Below are 22,338 nucleotides of genomic sequence, written 5' to 3' on the forward strand. Positions count from 1 at the left end.
TCTACAAAACATACAAAGATTAGCCAGGTGTCGAGGTGCACACCTGTAGTCCCAGCTACTCAGGAGGCTGAGGCAGGAGGATCAGTTGAGCCCAGGAGGTCGGGGCTGCAGTCAGCAGTGTTCATGCCACTGTACGCCAGCTTGGGCAACAGAGCAAGACCGTGTTTCCAAAGAAAAAAACAAACAAACGTGCAAAAACCTTCTGAGGTAGGCTCTATTTTATGATTATGGATGGAGAATCAGAGCCTCAGAATGTCACTCCGTTTGCAAGAGGTGGAGCTTGGACTTGACTTGAGGATGGACTCCTCTTGAGTGCTTGCTCTTATCCACGCTGCTCTTCCTTCTGCCTAAATGCCCTGGGGAGAAGGGGGAGCCCCAAAATACACATCAGACTCATAGCCTGACAAATTGTCTTTACTTCCCTCTCTATTAATAGAAGTTTACCGTCCCCAAAGGCAGACTTGGCGTGACGAGGATAGGAGACTTGTCCCTGCAGGATATGAGGAAGGTACCTTCTCTGGCCCTCATAGAGCTGACCGCGCTCTGTGACATCCTCGGCTTGGACCTGAAGAGGAGCAAGGCGGGGAAGTGGAAAGCGGCAGGTGAGCAGCCCCAGCCCAGGGAAAGCCCTGTGGCCACAGTCCTCATAGGGAGCTGAACACGGACTCTCCCAGCAAGAGATGCTCAGCTTTGTCTTTCTTTCTTTTTTTTTTTTTTGAGACGGAGTCTCGCTCTGTCACCAGGCTGGAGTGCAGTGATGTGATCTCGGCTCACTGCAACCTCCGCCTCCCGGGTTCAAGCAATTCTTTTGCCTCAGCCACCCGAGTAGCTGAGACTACAGGTGCGCACCACCATGCCCAGCTAATTTTTGTATTTTTAGTACAGACGGGGTTTCACCATGTTGGCCAGGATGGTCTTGGTCTCTTGACCTCGTGATCTGCCTGCCTCAGCCTCCCAAAGTGCTGGGATTACAGGTGTGAGCCACCACGCCTGGCCAGCATGCTCAGCTTCTATATTCCTTCTGTTTACATTTTTTTTTCTGCATATGTAAACAATTCCTGCTCATTGTGGGAAATTTGTGAAATAGAGTAAAATACAAAAAGGAAAAAATATAATTCAGAAAAGCACTTTTAGTGTATTATCTTCCTTTGTGTGTATATGTGTGTATCCTTTTTTCACCTAATATTATATAATTATGGTTTGGGAGCAGTGGCTCACACCTGTAATGCCAACAATTTGGGAGGCCGAGGTGGGAGGCTCACTTGAGCCTGGGAGTTTGAGACCAGCATGGGTGACATAGTGAGACCCTGTCTCTACAAAAAATAAAAAAGTAGCCAGGCGTGCTGGTGCACACCTCTAGTCCCACCTACCTGGGAGGCTGAAGTGGGAGGATCACTTGAGCCCGGGAGGTGAAGGCTGCAGTGAGCCTTGATCATGCCACTGCACTCCAGCCTGGGTGACAGAGACAGACTCTGTCTCATTCTATATATATAGAACTATGAGACCCTGTTTCATAATTCCATTATATATAATAGAATATATTATAGTTATAGATCTATATTATAGAACATTATATATAATAGAATTATGGACATTTTCCAGTTATTGTATCATTTAGTGGTTGTCATGATAATGCTACATAACAAACAACCCCCAAACTCATGACTTAAGAATTCTTTACTCTTGCTCACATGTTTATGAGTAAACTGGGCGTAGCTTGGCTGATCTAGGCTTAGCTCCAAGTTGTTGGCTGAGTGTAGGTCTGCTCACAGGTCTCTCATCCTCCTGGGACCAGCTGGCTGTCTGGAGGATGTTCTTATGGTGACAGCAGAAGCTCAGAGGGCAAACTGTACCGCATTTTAAGCCTCTGCTTGCATCTTGTAGGTTACCATGCCATTGGTCCAAACTAGTCACATGGCCTAGCAAGGGGTGAGGAAGTACGCTGTGCTTCCCTAATGGGAAGATTTGCAAATTCACATGGCAGAGGGTGTGGATACAAAGAGGGGTAATGAATTTAGAACAATAGTGACATTTACCACAACTATTAAATATTCCTTGAAAACATGATTTTTATTTATTTATTTTTTTTTTTTTTTGAGAGAAAGTCTCTCTCTCTTGCCCAGGCTGGAGTGCAGTGGCATGATCACAGCTCACTGCAGCCTCAATCTCCCCAGGCTCAGGTGACCCTCTCACCTCAGCCGCCTGAGTAGCTTGGACTGCAGGTATGTGCCATCATGCCCTGCTAATTTTTGTATTTTTTGTAGAGATGCAGTATTTTTATGTTGCCCAGACCGGTCTCGAACTCCTGGGCTCAAATGATCTTCCCACCTCAGCCTCCCAAAGTGCTGGGGTTACAGGCATGAGTCACCTTGCCTGGTGAAAACATGATTTTTAATCACTGCACTATTTTCCTCCTCGTGGATGTATTCTAATATATTTAACCATTTCCCTATTAGTGGACATTTTTGATGCCCATGTCTTTCCTATTATAAGACACAATCATTACTGCTGTATATATGCTTTTGAATGCATCTTAGCTTACTTTAGATTATACTTATGAGTTAAGTTCCTGAGATAATATTGCCCTTCAGCAGTGTATGAAAGTGTTCATTTCACTGCAGCATTGTCAACATTATGCATTGTGATTTTTTGGTTTGTTTTGGTTTGGTTTTTTGGTTTGTTTCTTTAAAGACAAGAGGATGGTGAATAAAAAAAGACCAGGGGGAGGAATCTAGCAGAGGTGGGGTAGGCCAGAGAAGGGAGAAAGAAGGAAGGTGTGGAGAAAATGTGGAAGGAGGAGTTTGCCTGAGAAGACCTCAAGCCAGGGTGGTTAAGATTGACCCAGGGAATACATTCTCTAGGACCTGGCCCATCCTGCAGAGCCAGAGCTCTATCCAGGACTGCTGTTACATTTTTATACCTGGTGCCTTCTGGAGCAGCAGCGTGCTTCCCTTTCAATACTTTTTTTTTTTTTTCTGTGAGACAGAACTTTGCTCTTGTCACCCAGGCTGGAGTGCCATGGTGCAATCTTGGCTCACTGCAACCTCTGCCTCCTGGATTCAAGCGATTCTCCTGCCTCAGCCTCCCGAGTAGCTGGGGTTACAGACACCCGCTACCACACTCAGCTAATTTTTTGTGTGTTTTTAGTAGAGACAGGGTTTCGCCATGTTGGCCAGGCTAGTCTCGACCTCCTGACCTCAGGTGATCCGCCTGTCTCAGCCTCCCAAAGTGCTGGGATTACAGGCTTGAGCCACTGCACCCGGCCCTTTCAATACTTCTTTAACCAGCTAAGATTTTCTGCTCTGAGACATATCTCCTCAGCAGTAATGTTTTAATGAAAACATTACTGCTGAGGCCTAATGTTCTGCTCAAGAGGAGCGGTTTGGGTCCAACCATTCTCTAGAGAGCTCAGTCCTTCCACAGGAAAAGGGGTCTGATTCTAGTTGCCCAGGAGATCCTGTAGGTCGGAGCCCAGTGATCATTCCAAGAAGTGAAATGTGCCTCTGCTCTTTGACTTTCTGCAGAAACTCGCCTCTTTGGTGTGCCCCTTGACAGCCTGCTAGAAGCTGACCACAAAGTCCTCCCCAGCACACAGGTCCCGCTGGTCCTTCAAGCCGTAAGTCGCCCCTACCCCAGCTTGGGTTTATTTAATCCTTCAGAGGCTGGCTCAGGGGACCATTGTCAGGAGACATCCAGCAAAGGGGTGAAAGGATGTGCTTTAGAATCAGGCAGACTTGGGTTCAAATTCTGGCTCTGGCACTTGCTGGCTCAGAGACCTGGGGTGGATTTTTGCTGTTGTTGTTGTTGTTGATGTTGTTGTTTTTATTTTATAAATTTTTGTCTTGGCTGGGCGCCGTGGCTCACACCTGTAATCCCAGCACTTTGGGAGGCCGAAGCGGGTGGATCATGAGGTCAGGATATCAAGACCATCCTGGTTAACACGGTGAAACCCCATCTCTACTAAAAATACAAAAAAAAAAAATTAGCCGGGTGTAGTGGCGGGCACCTGTAGTCCCAGCTACTTGGGAGGCTGAGGCAGGAGAACGGTGTGAACCCAGGAGGCGGAGCTTGCAGTGAGCCGAGATCGCGCCACTGCACCCCAGCATGGGCAACAGAGAGAGACTCTCTCAAAAAATACATAAGTAAATAAATAAATAAGTAAATTTTTGTCTTAATTTTTTTTGTAGAGACAGGGTCTCACTATGTTGCCCAAGCTGGTCTCGAACTCCTGGCCTCAAGTGATCCTTGGGGTGGATTTTCTTTTCTTTTCTTTTTAACTTCTGAATCTTAAAGTCAAGGGTAGATTTTTGAACTTTCATTAGCCTCCCTTTCAACATCTGTAAATTGGGATGATGATAACAGTATCCTCCTCTTATCAATGATTAAATGAGAAAAATGTGTATGAAGCTCTCAGAATGCTGGGCTCATGGAAGTGGTCACAAAAACTAATATTATTCCGAAGGAAACCCTTCTCCTGGTACTCCCCTCTTTCTGATTTTCATGGGAGACAAACACACCATTTTGAATCCTGCTTTTCAGCGGTTCCTGGTTTAAATGCTGGTTTCTCTTTCTGACAGCTGCTGTCCTGTTTGGAAAAGAGAGGACTGGACATGGAAGGCATTCTCAGGGTGCCCGGATCCCAGGCCAGGGTCAAGGTAATGGTTTGGCTTCCTGGCTTCACTGAGGCTGCATCTCCCCCATGCTCACATGTGTGTTAAGCCGGGAGGGAAACCAGTCCCTGACTCGCCAGTGATCTGTCTTTGGTCTCTGTGTGGGTCGAGGGTTTGAGAGGCTGAAGGTGGCATGATGAGCATGGTGGCAGAGAGTGTGGGCCCTGGAGTCAGGCCACCAACGTTTAATGAGCAGAGCTCTGTGCTCAGTGACACGCACGTTAGACCATTTCGTCCTTACTTCAACCCCACGAGGGAGGTGCTCTTGTTGTCCCCACTTTGCAGATGAGGAAACCAAGCCCCAGAGAAGTGGTAGAGCGACTTCTACCAGAGCCCTGGGCCAACTGTGTTTTCATGCCCCGCCTTCCTGTAGGGGCTGGAACAGAAACTGGAGAGAGACTTCTATGCTGGCCTTTTTAGCTGGGACGAGGTTCATCACAATGACGCCTCTGATTTGCTCAAAAGGTTCATCCGGAAGCTGCCGACACCTTTGCTCACGGCTGAGTACCTCCCGGCCTTCGCCGTGGTGCCTAGTGAGTGTGCCCAAGCCCTTAGCCTGTGCAGGGATGGAGAGTTGGCTCACTGGCCTTGGTGGAGAGGGGAAGCCATGCAAAGGCAGGACTCCGTGTTCCTGGAAATGTCTGTTCCAGAAATGTCCAACTGATGGGGGAAGAAGCAAGTGTGAACATGTGAGCCCAATGTGTGCACATACACATGTGCACGCGTGTCCTGCGTGTGTTGTATGGCATGTGTGCAGGTGTGTGAGGAGAGGAGGCTAAGGTTTTGCACACTACAGTCCCTATTAGTTCTCACATGGATGAGTGGACTAGTTTCCTTCACATCTTGACATCCATGGGGTTGAGCTTATCAGCATCATTACCTGTGTATCTGTGGGCACACATGTGTGTGCATGTCCATCTGTGTGCACATCTGCAGATCAGCATGTGTTGCACGGACCTTGCTGTATGTATAGTCTGCATATATATGTTCCTGTCTGGACTTCTTCACAATCCACAATGAACAAAGATAGTCACTTCTATTTTTCTCAAAAAAATACAGCAGCTCTCCTGAGATCTCACTCACAACCGTGAGGTTCTCCCTGTCTCTCTGAATTCTCCAAAAAGCTCCAAGGCTCAGGCAGTCTGATTTCTACCCCCAAGCTAGGGACAGGGATCCTGAGAGGTCCTCTCTGACCTTTGATTCTCACGACCGCAGCGTTTTGGTTGTTGTTGTTGTTCTTCTTCTTCTTCCTCCTCTTCTTCCTCTTCTTCCTCTTCTTTCTTCTTCTTTCTTCTTCCTCTTCTTTCTTCTTTCTTCTTCTTTCTTCTTTTCTTCTTTTCTTCTTTCTTCTTTCTTCTTTCTTTCTTTTTTTTTTTTTTTAGAGATGGGGTCTTGCTCTGTCACCCAGGCTGGAGTGCAGTGGCATGATCCTAGCTCACTGCAGCCTTGAACTCTTGGGTTCAAGTGATTCTCCTGCCTCAGCCTCCCAAGTAGCTAAGAATATAGGCACATGAGACCACGCCTGGCATACTTGTTTAACATTTTTTTGTAGTGACGGGGGTCTCGCTATGTCGCCCAGGCTAGTGTCAAACTCCTGGCCTCAAGCGATCCTCCCACTTTGGCCTCCCAAAGTGATGAGGTTACAGGCATGAACCATCAGGCTTGGCCTCAACCTCATTGCAAAACATAAATCAGATTCCTTCCCTATGCTGTTGCCCACCCTCCACAGCACTCTTGTAATAAGATTCCACTTCTTACTAGGCCCACCTCCTCCGGCTCAGGTCCTGCCTATTTCTGGCCCCCTTTCCTCCTGGGCCCCTCCTTCCCCACTGTCTGGCCAGGCTCTCTCGCTTTGCTGTTCCCCCTCCTCTTTCCTTCCCTGGGGCCTCTGCACTTGCTGCTGTGTCTGAATGGAACCTCCCTCCACCCTCATTTGGCTGCTTTCTGCCATTCAAGTTCCAGCTGGCTGTCATTGCCTGCGAGGGGCCTTCCGTGACCCCACACATCATGCTGCCTGCCAGCCTCTATAATGATGCAATGATGCCCATCATACTCTGATTTATTCTTTGCTTGTGTATTATGTCTCCTCTCTGAAATGTAAGCTCCATGAGCCTGTGACTTTGTTTTCCTCCTTTACTATTGTGTCCAAGATTCCTAGACTGAGCACAGCACCTGACAGGTACTTGATAGATATTTGTTGATAAGTGAGAGAAGGAAAGAAGGGAAGGAGGGAGGGAGGGAGGGAGGAAGGAAGGAAGGTAGGTAGGTAGGTCATATGGGGTCGCAGGCCTGGCGCCCAGGGTGCTCAGCCTCTGTCTCCTACGCAGCTCTTCTCCAGGTTCCAGCCAGCTCTCAGCTGCTGGGTCTTGTCTGGCTCTGATGAACTCCTTCTTTGAATCTATAACTACTACCTCCTCCTACCTACCTCCTCTCCCCGGAGATCCTGACACCAGGTGTGAGACAGCTTTTCCTTTTCAACCCTCACAACACAGAGGGTTTCATGAAAACCTTCTATCTGGGCCCATTGAGCTCTCTGTCTCCCTTCCTAAGGGTGATTTGCTGGTTCATTGCATTTCTGACCCTGGGCTGCAGCCTGGACTGCATCTAGGTCTGTGCGGCATGTGCTTGCCTGCACATGCATGCGTGTGTTTATTTTGTTACACAAAGTATAGCGAGTGAACCTCCCACGAGCACTGGTCAGGGCTCTGTCTGAGCCAACATTAGACAAGGAAATAGTCCCACACCTTATGAAAAAAGGGATTCCTGGCTGTCCCCTGGCTTTCCAGCTCTGGAATTTCCCCAAGAAGAGACCAGACTGAGGGAGGGAGTCCCTGAGCCTCCCATGGAGACTGAGGTCCCTCCCTTCCCGCAGACATCCCCAACCTGAAGCAGCGCCTGCAGGTTCTTCACCTGCTCATCCTCATCCTCCCAGAACCCAACAGAAATGCCTTAAAGGTAAGAGTTACCATGCACCACCACCACTCTGCCATCTCAGCCCACAGCCACAGCCATGGCTTCAAATGTGCTCATTCATTCATTCATTCATTCAACAACTCTGCCAGGTGCTAGGGTTCAGTGATGACCCACACAAACCTCTCTTGAGACTTTTTCTTAAAGAAAGTAGATGAGTCCTGAAAGGGGATAGTCCCGGAGTGGGCACTGCAGAGCGTCAGTTCCACGTGGTGCTAACAGGTGTTAGCACCTTGTGGCCAAGCATGGATGGGTAAACACAGAGTTCATGAAACAAGGTTAAGAATACTTTTCTCCCCAGGACTTCTCAAAGCCTTTGGTATATTGAGGCTTTAGAGAATCTCCAAGTGGGATTAGAGTATGCAGCACTCTCCAAACTCAGTTGATCACAGACCTCTTTTGTTGTGGAAAGCATTGCATGGCACTGGTGTTCCATGCAGAACCAGTTTGGGAAACAGACCCTTAGCAAATTCTCCTTGTCGTATGGGAATGGATGCAGGGCCTTGGCCCAGCTCCCTGTACCGTCTTGACTGTCCTTCAGTCAGACTCAAGATGTGCCTCCAGGATCAGCCTGAGGAGGCCCCGGGTCTTCCTGTTTGAGTTTCTGCTTCCTTTTCAGTAAACTGAGGATGATAATAGCATTAATAGCATCTTGTCTAATTGTTTTGGAAATCATAAAAGCTAACTCATGAGGAATCATGGGGTAGAAGATGATGCTTTGCAGGGTACTCAATATGTGTCCTCTTTTCCTATCCTCTCTCCCTCCCTCTCTCCCTTCCTTTCTTCCTCCCTCCCTCCCTCCTTCCCTCCCACCTCCCTTCCATTTATTCTTCCTTCCACCACCCATTTATTCTCATTCGTCCATCTATTAATCTTTTCTTTCTCCATTCATCCATCCATCCATCCTTCCATCCATCCATCCCTCCCTCCCTTCTTCACTCCGTCCCTTTGTCCTTACTGGCTATATGACTCTTGGCACATTCTCCAAGCTTGTTTCCTTATCTGTAAAACACATGCAATAATAAGAGCTACCTTGGCCAGGCACAGTGGCTCATTCCTGTAATCCCTGCACTTTGGGAGGCCAAGACGGGAGGATCACTTGAAGTCAGGAGTTCGAGATCAGCCTGGCCAATATGGTGAAACCCCGTCTGTACTACAAATAAAAAAATTAGCTGGGTGTGATGGTGCACACTTGTAATCCCAGCTACTTGGGAGGCTGAGGTGGGAGGGTCACTTGAACCTGGGAGGCAGAGGTTGCAGTGAGCTGAGCCAAGATCACACCACTGCATTCCAGCCTGGGAGACAGAGTGAGACTCTGACTCAAAAAAAAAAAAACAAAAAACAAACAAAAAAAACCTACCTTATAAAGTTTCTGTGAGGATTAAATGAGATGTACCAATTAAAGGCCCAGGAACACAAAGAATACATAGTAAGTGGTAGCTCTCATCACTTTCTGCTGCTCTTCTCAGTGTCTCTGCTTCTCCCAGCATCTCTGCTTCTCTATTCCTTCCTTTGCATTTTGGGTAGACCCAGACTCCAGAAAGAAGGAGCTATCCTGGGCCTCACCAGGAAATGACCCATGTTCCAGACCTGTGGCCCTTTTCTACCTGGAAGTTGAAGTCTGACCCAGTTGTCTCATTAGTCTCTGAGGGAGCAGGGGAGGGAAAGAGTCTTGGACACACTGCAGAGCAGGAAACGGAGACACAGAGAGGTCATGGAGTGGGCCGGTGACACAGCTGGAACGGGAGCCCCTCTTGCTGCCCTCCCAGCTCCTGGCTCCTTCCTAGCACCCCCTTATCATTCATCAGAATGCCCTGGGGATGGTGGGGAGGCGCCAGGGATGGGCTGAGATTTGAGGGAGGCTCTGCACCCTTCCCTAGGCACTGCTGGAATTCCTCAGGAAGGTGGTGGCCCGGGAACAGCACAACAAGATGACTCTGAGGAATGTTTCCACCGTGATGGCCCCTAACCTCTTTCTGCACCAAGGGCGGCCCCCCAAGCTCCCCAAAGGCAAGGAGAAGCAGCTGGCAGAAGGGGCAGCCGAGGTGGTGCAGATAATGGTGCACTACCAGGATCTGCTGTGGACGGTGAGTGCTGCTGGGCGCTGGGTATCCCTCTGGGTGCAGCTGCCGTGCCGCCCCTGCTCTCCAGGAGCCTGGGCATTGTCCTTTCAGTTCCCTAGTGTGTCCCTTCCAGGACCTTTGTTGGCCTCTGCACAGGCCTGTGTTTTCTTCCTCCCCCTGCCTTAGTAACCAAGAAGAAGTGTCTTCACTTTCTGTCTCCACTGCCATGCCTCTCAGTCAGTCTGCTGCCATCTGGTCTACCCCAGATTGCAGGAGTTCCCCCAACTCCTGCAAATAATTCCTTCACATCAAAGCTTTTATGCTGCTGAGAAAGCCCCATCCCTGAGGCCCAGGATCACAGGGCCTGCCTAAGACAGAGCCCAGAACCAGATAACAGGGATACCCCTGCCCTCCTGCCCCCACCGTGAGCTTTGCCCTGAGTAACAAGTGACAGCAAGGGGAGGAGCCAGAGCAGGAGAGAGGCCCCTCTGCGGTGTCAGCATGCATGGTGCCCCTAGCACTGAGACCCCTCCAGCTCTTGAGACTCCTGTGAACACAAGGCAGCACCATCTACCACTGCTGACCAGGCTGCTTTCTCACCTAGCGATGCGTAGCCTCTTCCCTCCATCTGTTCATTCATCCTTCCATTCAGTCTCCCATCCATCCACCCACTCACCCACCTACCCATCCATCCATCCACCCACCCATCCATTTATGCAACTGCCCGTCACCCACCCACTCACCCACCCACCTATCCCCCCCACCCATCTACTTACCCACCCATCAATCCATTAATTCCTCCAACTCCCCCATCCACCCATATGCCAATCTATCATCCACTCACCCATCCACCAATCATGCATCTCTCCACTCATCTACCAATCCATCCATCCACCCACTCATTCACCCATCCACTCAACCATGCATCTATCCAACTAAACCACACATCTATCCAACTATCTACCCATCCATCCATCCACTCATCTACCAAACCATGCATCTATCCCACTATCTACCCATCCATCCACCCACAGTCCTTCCCTCTATCCCTTCCTTCTTCCATGGTCATTAGGTTAGATTTCCTATTCCAGAAACCAGCAAGTGAAGCCCTCTCTGACTGTTCCCACTTTTCTTCCTACCCTGCCTGGGCACTCGTCTGTGTTCTAAACACAGCAAACGCCAGCTGGCACTCCAAACTCATCTAGTACTTCACACTTCTGAATTTTTGCTTATGCAGTTTACTCTGCCTGGAATTCCCTTCCCTTTTTTTTTTTTCTAAGGGCAGAAGCCTGGTGTCCTCTGCTCATTCTTCAAGACCTCCTAGTTCAAAAGTCAACTCCTCTGTCGAAAGTCCCCTACTCCTCCCTCATACACCCCTTATACCCCCATAGTTCCTTTCTTCTCTGCACTCAGCCCTTTGAGATAATGTTGCTACTGAAAGACATTGGATTGTAATACTTCTTTTTATTGGAGGATGCTTTAAAAATTCAAGAAATTCTTGAATGTTTTCTTGTTAGAAAAGCTTCAGAAAACATAGATGTAGAAAAAGTGAAAGGGGAGAACCCCCATCACCCTCGCTCTTCCCCGTGTGTGTCACCTTTAGACAGCACACACATAGCAGCAAAAAGGGGAATTCAGAATCGACTCCAGTTTCGTCAGACCCTGGGAGACAGAAACATGTTATTAGCAGGGTCCATGGAGTCTGGGTTCTCTGACTCTGCTGGGTTCGGATCCCACAGAGAGGCATGGGTTGATCTGGAGGTCTCTGTAGGAATCCCCCAGTGTGGGCTCTCTGGGGGTTCTCAGAGCAGAGCCTGCTCCAGGTGTGTTTTGGGGACACCCCTGCCTGAGTGTGCCAGTGAGCAGCTATCCCTCAGCAGGTGCAGGACCCTCCAGCTTCTGTCGAGGGGACCACTATCCACTAAGCCTCAGGGTGGGCTCCACTCTCAGGGTCCCCTACTCCAAGGTCCACTTTAGGGGCTGAATGCCCCCTCCTCATTCCACCAAACCAGTGCTTCCGTCCCGTGTCCAACAAATGCATATTTCCAAGCCCTGTGGGACGCTGGGCCAGGGAAGAGGCCACGATGACCCTGGAGAGGGCTCTGCCTCTCGCCCCCAGAAGTCCTATCCCCCTGCCAAAACTTGATCCTTTCTGGCCAGGTCGCCTCTTTCCTGGTCGCCCAGGTGCGAAAACTGAACGACAGTAGCAGCAGGCGCCCCCAGCTCTGCGACGCAGGCCTCAAGACTTGGCTGCGGAGGATGCACGCAGACAGGGACAAGGCGGGGGACGGCCTCGAGGCGGTGAGTGCCCCCGACCCCAGACAGGTGGAGAAGGGCCGAGGCGACAGGAGGGCACCTGGGGCGCGGTGCTTCCCTTCCTCCAGGTCCCCGCTACCGGGCTGCCAGCAACGGCCCAGTGAGGCCACCAGGGGGCGTTGCGGCGCCGTCACGGGGAGCGAGGAGGCGTGGCTGCGAAACGAGGGCTTAGAAGCGGGTTGGGGAGGGGAAATGGAGTGACTCGGAGACTTCCCCTAGAAACCGTCACCGCCGCCCCATTTTTCGGCAGCCCCTGGCCGAGGGTTGGGAAAATGGGAGTCGCTCTGCGGGGTGTGAGGTGATTGGGGCTGGGTGGGGGATAGTAGAAGGGAAGAGCCTTCCAAAAATACTGAGTATTCCTAGGAGGGGTCCTGAACACGGTTCCTTATTAAAGTCCCGATTAGAGAAATTGATGAGCGTTGAGGCTGCACCGTGCACGATGTGTGGGTGATGGGTCTTTATACAAACCTACATGTCTGTGTTTGTGGGTGCGTTGCATGTACTCCTGCTGTGTGTACAAGTGCACCGACACAGGCATAGAAACACAAACATAGGCATAGAAACACAAACACACATCTGGAATGTGTATGTCTGTGATCTGTGCCCAAGTGTCCGGTATGCGTGTGTGTGTATCTTGTGATTTTCAGCGTGGGCATTTGCGTAAGTGCCATGTATGCGTGTTTATGCATCCACGTTGGAACTCCAGGCAAGCTGACTCTTATGTATATGGATCTTTCTCTCTCTCTCTCTGCAGACTCCCAAGGTGGCAAAGATCCAGGTGGTCTGGCCTATCAAGGACCCCTTGAAGGTGCCTCTCACCCCCAGCACCAAAGTGGCCCACGTCCTGAGGCAGTTCACAGAGCACCTCAGCCCTGGTTCCAAGGGTCAAGAAGACAGTGAGGACATGGACAGCCTCCTTCTACAGTAAGAGGCACCTCCTGGAGGCAGGAGCCTCTTCCCTGCAGGGAGGGCTCTGCACCCCAGAGCTGAAGGCCACCAGGGGGTTACACATACTGTTGGCCTGACCTGGCCTTCCCTTTCTGGGGTGGTCAGATGGGTTCTCCAATCTTAGAGAGTTTCTTGGCTCCAAGTAATAATCATGATGACCACCACTCACTCATTCACTTTAATAGGTATTTAATGAATGCCTACCACCAGGCACCATGTTTTTCTGTTGGTTTGTTTGTTTGTTTGTTTGTTTGTTTTGAGATGGAGTCTAGCTCTGTCACCCAGGCTGGAGTGCAGTGGCTCGATCTTGGCTCACTGCAACCTCCTTCTCCCAGGTTCAAGCGATTTTCCTGCCTCAGTCTCCCAAGTAGCTGGGATTACATGCACCTGCCACCATGCCTGGATAATTTTTTTGTATTTTGAGTAGAGACAGGGTTTTACTATGTTAGCCAGGCTGGTGTCAAACTCCTGACCTCAAGTGATCTGCCCACCTCAGCCTCTCAAAGCGCTGGGATTACAGGCGTGAGCCACCGCACCTGGCCCACCATGTATTAAGAGAATTATAGACTAGCCATGAAAAGAACAGACAGAGGCCCTGCTCTTAAGAGCTCACAGTCCTGAGGAAGACCTGGATATAAAGCAGATAGTCACGAATCAAAGATCAAGTTACAAACTGTATTAGGTTTCATAAGAAATGCAGGGAACAATGTGTCTGGAAGCCAAGGAAGCTGGTGTCATCTGGGAGCGAGGTGAGGCTTCCAGGCACAGAAAACTGCACAGTAAAGGTCCTGCAGCAAGGAGCAGAGCCTGGCCAAGGATCTGGAAGAAGGTCGGGGGCTGATGTGCAGCCATCATTCCTAGGGTACAGGAAACAGCCTGAGACCTCAAGAGCTTCCTTGTTGGCATTGGCACAAGGGACCCTCAGACTGTCATCTTCAGCAAGTATCTGATCCAGCTCCTCCTTGAACAGATGGGAGCACTAAGACTCAGAAAAGAGAAGGGACTTGCCTTAGGCCACATGGCAGAAAAGAGGCCATGGAATTGAACTCAGGATACCCATAATTATCATATAATAATTGTGATTCTTACATGATAGGCATCATTATCATATGTAATCATACAATGTCCATAATCCATCTTGACTCAAAATCTTCCCCTCACAGCAGGCTCCTGTCCCCATCTGTCACCACTCATTCCCTTGCCTTCGCAGTCTCCATTCTGATGCCCAGAAGAAAGGGGCCTCGCAGCGGGGTGCACCCCTGGCTGAGCCTCACCACGTGCCCTCCAGCTACCTCTCCCCAGCCCCTGGGTGCTGGACTCTGTCACTGGCTCCAGCTCTCTCAGGAGGGTCCTTATGCTGCTTCTCCCCAGCAGGACCAAAAATCAGTGAGGACTGCCCTTTCCAGGGCTGGGGGCCATGCACAGTTGTTGGTCTTGATGTTTCCAGAAGAAAAAGGCAGTAGTTTTTTTTTTCTCTCTCTCTGTTTTACAGCCATAGGTCCATGGAGTCAGCCAACATCCTCCTCTATGAAGTTGGAGGGAATATCAGTAAGTTCCACTGTGGGAAACAGGAACAGAGCCCGGGTCCCTGGGAGTTCTTCGACCTCAAAGGCTCACTGGGCCCTTCTGTGGGAGGCCAGAGTAGGCCTGCAGATGAGCCCTCCCTTCAGGTCTCTGTCTTCAATGAAACCAGGTGGAGTCCTGCTGTAAGGTTAAAGGTTAGCCTGTGCAAGTCTTAGGAGCCTATCCTGGAGTTTGGATTTTGCCTAGAGCTGGCCTCAGGCTTGCAGAGAGATGCAGAAGATTTGTTTAGTGTGAAGGTTCACAGTAGCACCAGTGAAACCGACGCCTCTGGGACACCCTAGCTGGGATGGACTTCATCCCTGGCCTAGGGGCCAAGGAGTCCTTAAGGAATTCTGCAAACACATATCCAGCTCTGGGAGTTCCCTGGCTCTGTGGGAACCAAGGATGGGCCGCTGTTTCCCTTTGCATTCTCTAGAGTAATGATCCTCAGACTTTACCAGAACCTCAGGATCCCCTGGAGGGCTAAGACACAGATTGCGGGGCCTAAGAATGTGTGTTTCTGATGAGTTCCCAGGAGTTGCAGATGCTGCTGGTCGGGGGGCCACACTTTGAGGGCCACTGGCCAAGAAGCAGAAGCTAAGACATGTCTTCAGTAGTACACGATGCATTGAGGGGGTGCCCCTCAGGAAAAGGGTTCCAAGGGACAGAGTGAAGGAGGATAGGGAAGGGGCAGGGGCCAGGAGTGTTCGCATCCTGGAGCTTGGCCTGATCCACTAGGTGGCTCTAGAGAACAAATCACATCAGAGTTGTTGCATTCTGAGGCAAGGGCACTGGTCTTCAGTACATCTGTGTCCGTCAGTCATCGACCGTGGGCTTCCCAGGGGAAAGGGGGTGTCACTTTTCTGGCAAGGCATCTTCCCTCAGCGGAGCTCAGTTCTCCAGCAAAAGAAGTAGCTGTGAGCTGTAGCAGTCAAGATGCATACAGCCAGGGGACAGTGCACTGCCTGGTGAAGGGCTCTGTGCAGGGGAACAGCATCTCCTACAGCCTCCCACTCAACCTCCTTCACCCCTTCTTCCCACAGATGAGCATCGCCTGGACCCAGATGCCTACCTCTTAGATCTGTACCGTGCCAACCCGCATGGTGAGTGGGTCCTTAAACAGAACCCCACCTAAACCCTGCGAGTCTCAGGAGCAGCCTGGATGCCTCCTCCTCTCCCCTGCTGGCTCTGTGTCCATGTACCCAGCATGAGAACAAAGCTATTCCAGGGGAGGGTCTGAGTTTTATTCCAAGGCTTCCTTTTCTGAAATGCCTCTCAGACCCCTCAGAAATAGACTCAGGGGTGGTGCTCTCTCCACTCAGAGGGGATGAGGGGCTAGGGCCTCAGGGAGGGGAGGCCAACACTGTAGCCATGATCAGCCCTGGAAGAACTGGACAGAGGAAGAACTTCCCTTCACAGCTCTCATGTTTTAACCGTGCACACAATGCCCTCACTCCCCTCCACCCTCCAGCCCTCCAGAGAGTTGCTTCCTACACCAAGCTTGCTGTATGACGCCACCACTTGGGGCGCTTGGATCTCCATGGGCTTCTGTCTGTGGCTTCCAGACTGGAGGAAAATTAAAAATGCAGTACCTTTATCAAGAGGTAGTTGGGGTCTTTTCCCCCCAGGCAAAATTGTTTCGAAAGTGGCCCTACAATGTGTAGTAGCAGCAGCACCAGAGACAAAACCAGGAGAGCTCTGTGACCTTGGACAAGCCCCTTGCCCTCTCAGAATCCTTTCAGGATGAGGGGCTAGGGCCTCAGGGAGAGGAAGCCAAGATTGTAGCCATGACCAGCCCCGGGAGAAATGGACAGAGGAAGACTTTGCTTCACAGCTCTCATGCTTTACATGTTGATTTGTACAATCTTGTCATTTTGTAATATGATATAATATGTAAACGTAATTGTTTAAACAGTAAAGGCACAACAAGTTCAATGTCACATTTACTTTGCCTGTTTTTCTCTCCAGTCCAGTGCTCGGTAGGTGTTGTCCTTCCAGCGAGTTGACGTGGGAGCTTGGTGACGAGAGCATCTTGCTGAGCTGCTCAAAGGGCTCTGGCCCATGTGATCCAGCCACGCCTTGAACCCACAACCACCGGGGGCGGGAGGGCAGGAAGAGAACTCAGAATGGGGAGGCATGGAGTAATGATACCCATTGCTGAAGGGTGGGGGCATTGCAGGGACAGCCTCTCTGGGAATCCTCTCATCTCCTACAGTCCCAGGTCTCACCCTTCCTCTTCTCCTCTGCCCTGGGTCTGTATCCTCAGGCCAGGTGAGGCTTCGCTTATTTGTTCACTTAACAATGAGTTTACTGAGCATTTAATTATGTGCCAAGAGGTTCACAAATTTAATCTTCACAATAATCCAGTGTTTTCGGTTTGGGTTCCCCCAGAAGCAAAATGTGAGGCAAAGACTCAAATGCAAATAGTGGTCCTAAGAAATGCAAGAGAGTGGGGATATGAGAGAAAGAGGGGGAGGCAGTCTATAAAAGGGTGCCCAATCACAAGCAAGCTACCACTGGGGGCATCTCGAGCTTAATTCCACTGGAGAACTCTGAGAAACAGTATGGAAGATGTCCTTCAGAGTTACCCTACCCAAGGGTCAAGGGAGCCAGTGTGTTTATTCAACTCCTGTGAGTCATTGGTTGACAGCTGCTCCTGAGGAGTATAGGTATTTGTTTCCTGGTACTTCCGCCTGCCAGAGTGCAGGCACAGTGTGCTCCAATACTCAGAGAAAGCCCTCAAGAAGAGATACAGATACTGGCAAGTAGACATTGGCCACTGTACACAGATGGCAAGTGCTGAAGGGATATGGGTGGGCATCAACAGAACCTGCTTCATCCTGTGAGGCAATGATGGTGAGATACTGATGCTGATGGTGATGGTGATGCTGCTGATGGTGGTGATGGTGATGCTGCTGCTGATGATGATGGTGGGGATAATGATGGTGATGCTGCCGATGGTGATGGTGGTGATGATGATGGTGATGCTGCTGATGGTGTTGATGGCGATGCTGCTGATGGTGATGATGGTGGTGATTACGATGGTGATGCTGCTGCTGCTGCTGGTGGTGATCCTGCTGATGGTTTTGATGGTTATGATGATGGTGATGCTGCTGACGGTGATGATGGTGATGATGATGATGGTAATGATGATGATGGTGAGGGTAATAATGGTAATGATGGTGATGGCGATGATGGTGATAATAACGATGATGCTGATGGTGATGATAATGATGGTGATGCTACTGCTGTTGCCACTGATGATGGTGATGATGCCAAGAGCTTGACAAGTTTGATCTTCACAATAATCCAGTATCTTAGTTTGGGCAATGATGGTGATGATGGCAGCTGTCACTAAGCAGTTACTACGCACCAGGCATTTTACAGATATTAATTCCTTTGATTCTCACAACAACCCTATGTGACACGTTATTATTCCCTTTTTATAGGAGAGGAAAAACCAAGGCTCAGAAAGTTAACATTACTTGTCTGCATGGCTGATAAGTGACAGGTTAATCTGGTGTCAAGATGCAAGCTCTACTATTTTAGACCATAAATATGAACTGTTTTGCCATAAATACCCATATTTAAAAGTGTTTTGGTAATGGTCACTTCCTCAATGTCCCCTCTTCCCTCCCTCATCCCACAATACAAATAATCTCAGAATGAGAGAAGGTATTTCTCTTAAACCAAGGAGACCTAGTAAGGAGGGATTGACATTTGTCCTGGAATTCCTCAATAGAGCATTTGAAGCTTGTAGCTGGTTAAGAGCCTCTGAGCGGCCTCAGTTTCCCTAGCAGCCCCATCTGAAGAGCCAAGATGTGATGAAGCATGAATTTAGCCTAGCATTAGCCCCACAATCCTATGAGGTGAGTGTTACCATAGTTCCACTTTACAGATGAAGAAACTGAGTTTCAGACAAGTTAAACCATGGATTCAAAGTCACACGCAGGGTGAGAAACTTGGATGCCTGATTCCAAATCCAGGGCTTTTTCAGTCACACCATGATTTCCTGAAGCAATATCAAGTGCCTGATAGGTGACAGCAAGAAGAGTCAAGAACAGCAGTAGGAAAATTGGACAAATTATTTAAGTTGGGGAGATACCAAGGGATTCAGCCAGAGTTGCTACTTCTGTTCACCAATGTCCTCTCTACCTCCCATGGTCTACCTACAAGCCTTTTGGACCTCCCTCCAAAATATACTCCAATCCATCCACTTCACTCCTTTGTTCCTACTACCATCCTAATCCAAACTACTACCATCTCGATGCCTTGGATAATAGTGATCATGATGGTGGTGGTGGTAGTGGCGTTGATGATGGTGATGGTAATGGTGATGATGGTGGTGGTGGTGATGGAAATGATGATGTTAGTTGTGGTGTTGATGATGGTAATGATAATGATTGTGATGGTGGTGTTGGTGGTGCTGGTGATGATAATGATGGTGGTGGTGGTGGTGGTGATGATGGTGGTGGTGGTGATGGAAATGATGATGATGTTAGTTGTGGTGTTGATGATGGTAATGATAATGATTGTGATGATGGTGGTGGTGGTGGTGATGATGGTGATGATGATTATGATGGTGGTGTTGGTGGTGCTGCTGATGATAATCATGGTGGCAGTGGTGGTGATGATGGTGGCGGTGGTGGTGGTGATGATGGTGGTGGTGGTGGTGACTGATGAGAATGATGATAATCTAAAATAGTTAAGAGTTTACATCTTGACACCAGATGGTGCAAGGCCTTGATGGCCTCCATGCCTCTTAACTGCTCTCCCTTCTTGCTTTCCTCTCTATTCATATATAGCAGCTACTGTGGGCCTTTAAAAATATAAATTCAATCTTACTGAAAGCCCTCCTGCTGAAAACTTTCCAGAGGGATCCCATTAAACAAATATCCCAACTCTTTACCCTGGCCTATGAAGCCCTATGTCTGTGACACCACTTCACTCATACTCCCTCCCACCTTACTTTGCAGAGCCAGTCAGTCACATGAGCCTCCTTCCAACTCCTCAGACATCCCAAGTTCATTCCTGCTTTGGGCTTTTGCACCTGCTGTTCTCTCTGTCCACAACACTCTTCCCCCAGCTACTTCCATGGCCAGCTCCTTTCGCCTTTGGATCTCAGGTCAGATGTCCCTTCCTTTGAGAGGCCATCTCTGACTACCCTATCTGAAGTTGCTTCTTCTGTCACTCTCTCTGGAATTGCCTTGGTGAATTTTCTTCCTAGCATTTATTACTATCCTAAATTATCTTATTGAGTCAGTTTTTTATTTTCTGTCTCCCTGACTAGGATGTAGCCCCATGAAGGCAGAGACTATGTGGGCTTTTCTCACTTCTATGGATATGATGGATATGATGTGGATATAATGGTACTAGCAGATGCTCAATAAAAATTGGCTGGATGAATGAATGAATGAATGAATGAATGGATGGATGAATCCCTCTCTGTCCCTTTGTTTGCTCTGGAAGCTGTTGCCCTTATCACCTTATTTAACTCTCACTTCCCTGGGTTCATGTATGAAAATGAGAAAATGCATCTGAAGTACTTATAGCAAGTGCTCAGCCAGTGCTCTCATTATTATTATTAATTATTAACAAAGGCCAGACAGCCTAAAATAGTGACTAATGGTACTATCCTCTTGTGCTTCCCAGCACCTGCGGTGGTCCCTTTGCACACCTCATTCACTCATTCCCAGGGTCTGGATGACAGGATGCAGTGTGGTTGGAGGGAAAATCCTTTACCCTTGGCAGGAGGTGAGGCAGGTTCCTCTGTGAGTGCTGAGAGCCCAGGCCCTGCTGTGCTAACTTTGCACTCAGAGTGGGCTGTCAGCCACCAGCAGAGGGTCCCAGTTTAATCACATGTCAGTTTCTCCATTCATCTTCGGTGCTATCTGAGGGCTCATCTTTTTCTACTCTGTGGCATCGTCATGATTGATGATCCTGCACCAGCTCCACCGCCGGGTTAGCTATATTAGCATAGCTCACAGTGGGTGCCCAGCTCCTCCGGGCTCTTTGTGGTCTGGGCCAGCATAGGGTGGCATCATGTTTCTCTTAAGGAGCTCTGTTGTGAATGGAATCGTGTCCTCCCAAAATTCATATGTTGAATCCCTAATTCTCAAGGTGACTGTGTTTGGTGATAAGGCCTTTAATGAAGTAATGAAGGTAAAATGAGGTCCTAAGGGTAGCACCCTCATCCAATAGGGCTGGTGTCTTCACAGGAAGAGGAAGAGACACCAGAGCCCCCTCTCTCTCCCCACGAGAGCAGAGAGGACAGGCGGCGCGAGGACGCAGTGAGGTGGCAACTGTCTGCGAGCTAGGAGAAGCCTCACCAAAACCCACATTTTCTGGTACCTTGATCTTGGGTTTCCTACCTCCAGAACCGTGAGAAAATAGACTTCTGTTGTTTAAGCCACCCTGTGGTGTTTGTTATAGGAGTCTTAGTAAGCTAATAGAAGCTCCTAGCTGCCTCCATCTTCTGAGAGGAAGGAGGATGGAATTTGTAAAGATGTCTTCAACCAGGAGAGTTTCCTTGGACAAAGGGTGGAAATGAGCCTCAGCAGGGGCGGACTCTCACCTGGCCCTCAGGTGTGTGCTTTCCTGGGAGAGGCTGCATTTATTGCTATGGGGCTGCAGGTAATTTGCCCAAACCAAAATTTGCAGGTAATTTGCAAACTGAATCTCTATGCTCCTAGAGATTCAGTTTGCTCTTTCTAGATCACCAAAGAGGATGATGAGGATGAAATGAGGAAACCTACAGTCACGCAACAATTATATCAAGCACCTACTGTGTGCCTGGCACTGGGCTAGGCTGGGGCCACAGTGATGAGCAAATCAAGGAAGGTCCCAGCCCTTGTGGAGCTCACAGTCTAGCGAGCGAGAGATATACTAACCTAGAAATGAAAAGATTTTATATTGTAATACAATTCTGCTGAGAAAAGTAAAACAGAGACGAGAGAGGACGTGGGGAATGTGGGCGAATCTTTGCTTTGAGGGGCCAGGGAAGGGTCTTAGATTGAGTGCCCTCAGAATCAGACCCTGAACGAGGAACCAGAGGGCAGGGTGCTTATTTGGGAGGTGATCCCAGAAAGACGCAGTGGAGGAATGGGGAAGTGAGGCGGGGAGGGGAGAAGCCAGTGAAGGTGTGCTAAAGAGCAGGTTACGGCTTCGGGCAACTGGGACTCCACGCTGCAGGGGTTCCCGGGAAGCCGCGTAGAATACGCCGCTGACACGTGGAGTAAAGAAGGGAGAGTGTTAACCACCAACCCCCACCACTTACTGGTGGAGGACTACTCCCAGGGCGTTTGCCCCCCGGCATTTCTACCTGGTCCCCCAGGCAGGCTCAGCACCCTCCTCTGCCAGAGGAGGATCTAGGCAGAGTCCTAGGTTCTGGCAATAGAAAGCCATCAGCATGGACAGGAGCCATGGGTGCTGGGGTGGGGCAGATGTGACCTGTCTGAGGAGGCGACCCTTGAACCGACACCAAAATGATGAGAAGGGGCCAGCCACGGGATGAGCTGGGAGAGGAGCTCTGCAGATAAAAGGAAGAGAAAGATCTCGGCCAAAGCCCTTGTCGACGCTTTCGTTGTGTGCAGGTCAGAGGGATTGTTGGGACAGCCTGGGCTAAGGGATGAATCAGGTTCCCCAGGAGCTGAATCAGGTTCCCCAGGAGCTCTCTCTAGTCTCTCTCTCTCTTTCTTTCTTTCTCTCTCTTTCTTTCTCTTTCTTTCTTTCTTTCTTTCTTTCTTTCTTTCTTTCTTTCTTTCTCTTTCTTTCTTCTTTTCTTTCTCCTCTCTCTCTCTCTCTCTCTC

At 49.5% G+C, this 22,338-nt stretch overlaps 1 protein-coding gene across 1 annotated transcript in view, besides 1 other annotated feature; it reads left to right on the forward strand.

Annotated features, from left to right (window-relative positions):
* The window catches only part of ARHGAP40 (Rho GTPase activating protein 40), a 48,845-nt gene extending 32,375 nt beyond the window's left edge, over positions 1–16,470 (forward strand). Inside the window, exons 6-15 of the mRNA NM_001164431.3 lie at positions 437–602; positions 3,525–3,616; positions 4,578–4,655; positions 5,044–5,203; positions 7,543–7,625; positions 9,521–9,727; positions 11,864–12,004; positions 12,774–12,943; positions 14,460–14,515; positions 15,574–16,470. Coding sequence (NP_001157903.2) covers positions 437–602; positions 3,525–3,616; positions 4,578–4,655; positions 5,044–5,203; positions 7,543–7,625; positions 9,521–9,727; positions 11,864–12,004; positions 12,774–12,943; positions 14,460–14,515; positions 15,574–15,665 — 1,245 coding nt within the window. The 3' untranslated portion in view covers positions 15,666–16,470. The remainder of the gene's footprint in view (positions 1–436; positions 603–3,524; positions 3,617–4,577; positions 4,656–5,043; positions 5,204–7,542; positions 7,626–9,520; positions 9,728–11,863; positions 12,005–12,773; positions 12,944–14,459; positions 14,516–15,573) is intronic.
* Positions 12,034–12,153: a silencer, noted in NCBI's record as "silent region_12900". NCBI's record gives its function as "represses an Ori minimal core promoter by ATAC-STARR-seq in GM12878 lymphoblastoid cells {active_cell/tissue: GM12878}" and the evidence as "EXISTENCE:reporter gene assay evidence [ECO:0000049][PMID:35858748]".
* Positions 16,471–22,338: the final 5,868 nt, after the last annotated feature.

Source organism: Homo sapiens, chromosome 20 (genome assembly GCF_000001405.40).
Source record: "Homo sapiens chromosome 20, GRCh38.p14 Primary Assembly".
Classification (NCBI taxonomy): Eukaryota; Metazoa; Chordata; class Mammalia; order Primates; family Hominidae; genus Homo; species Homo sapiens.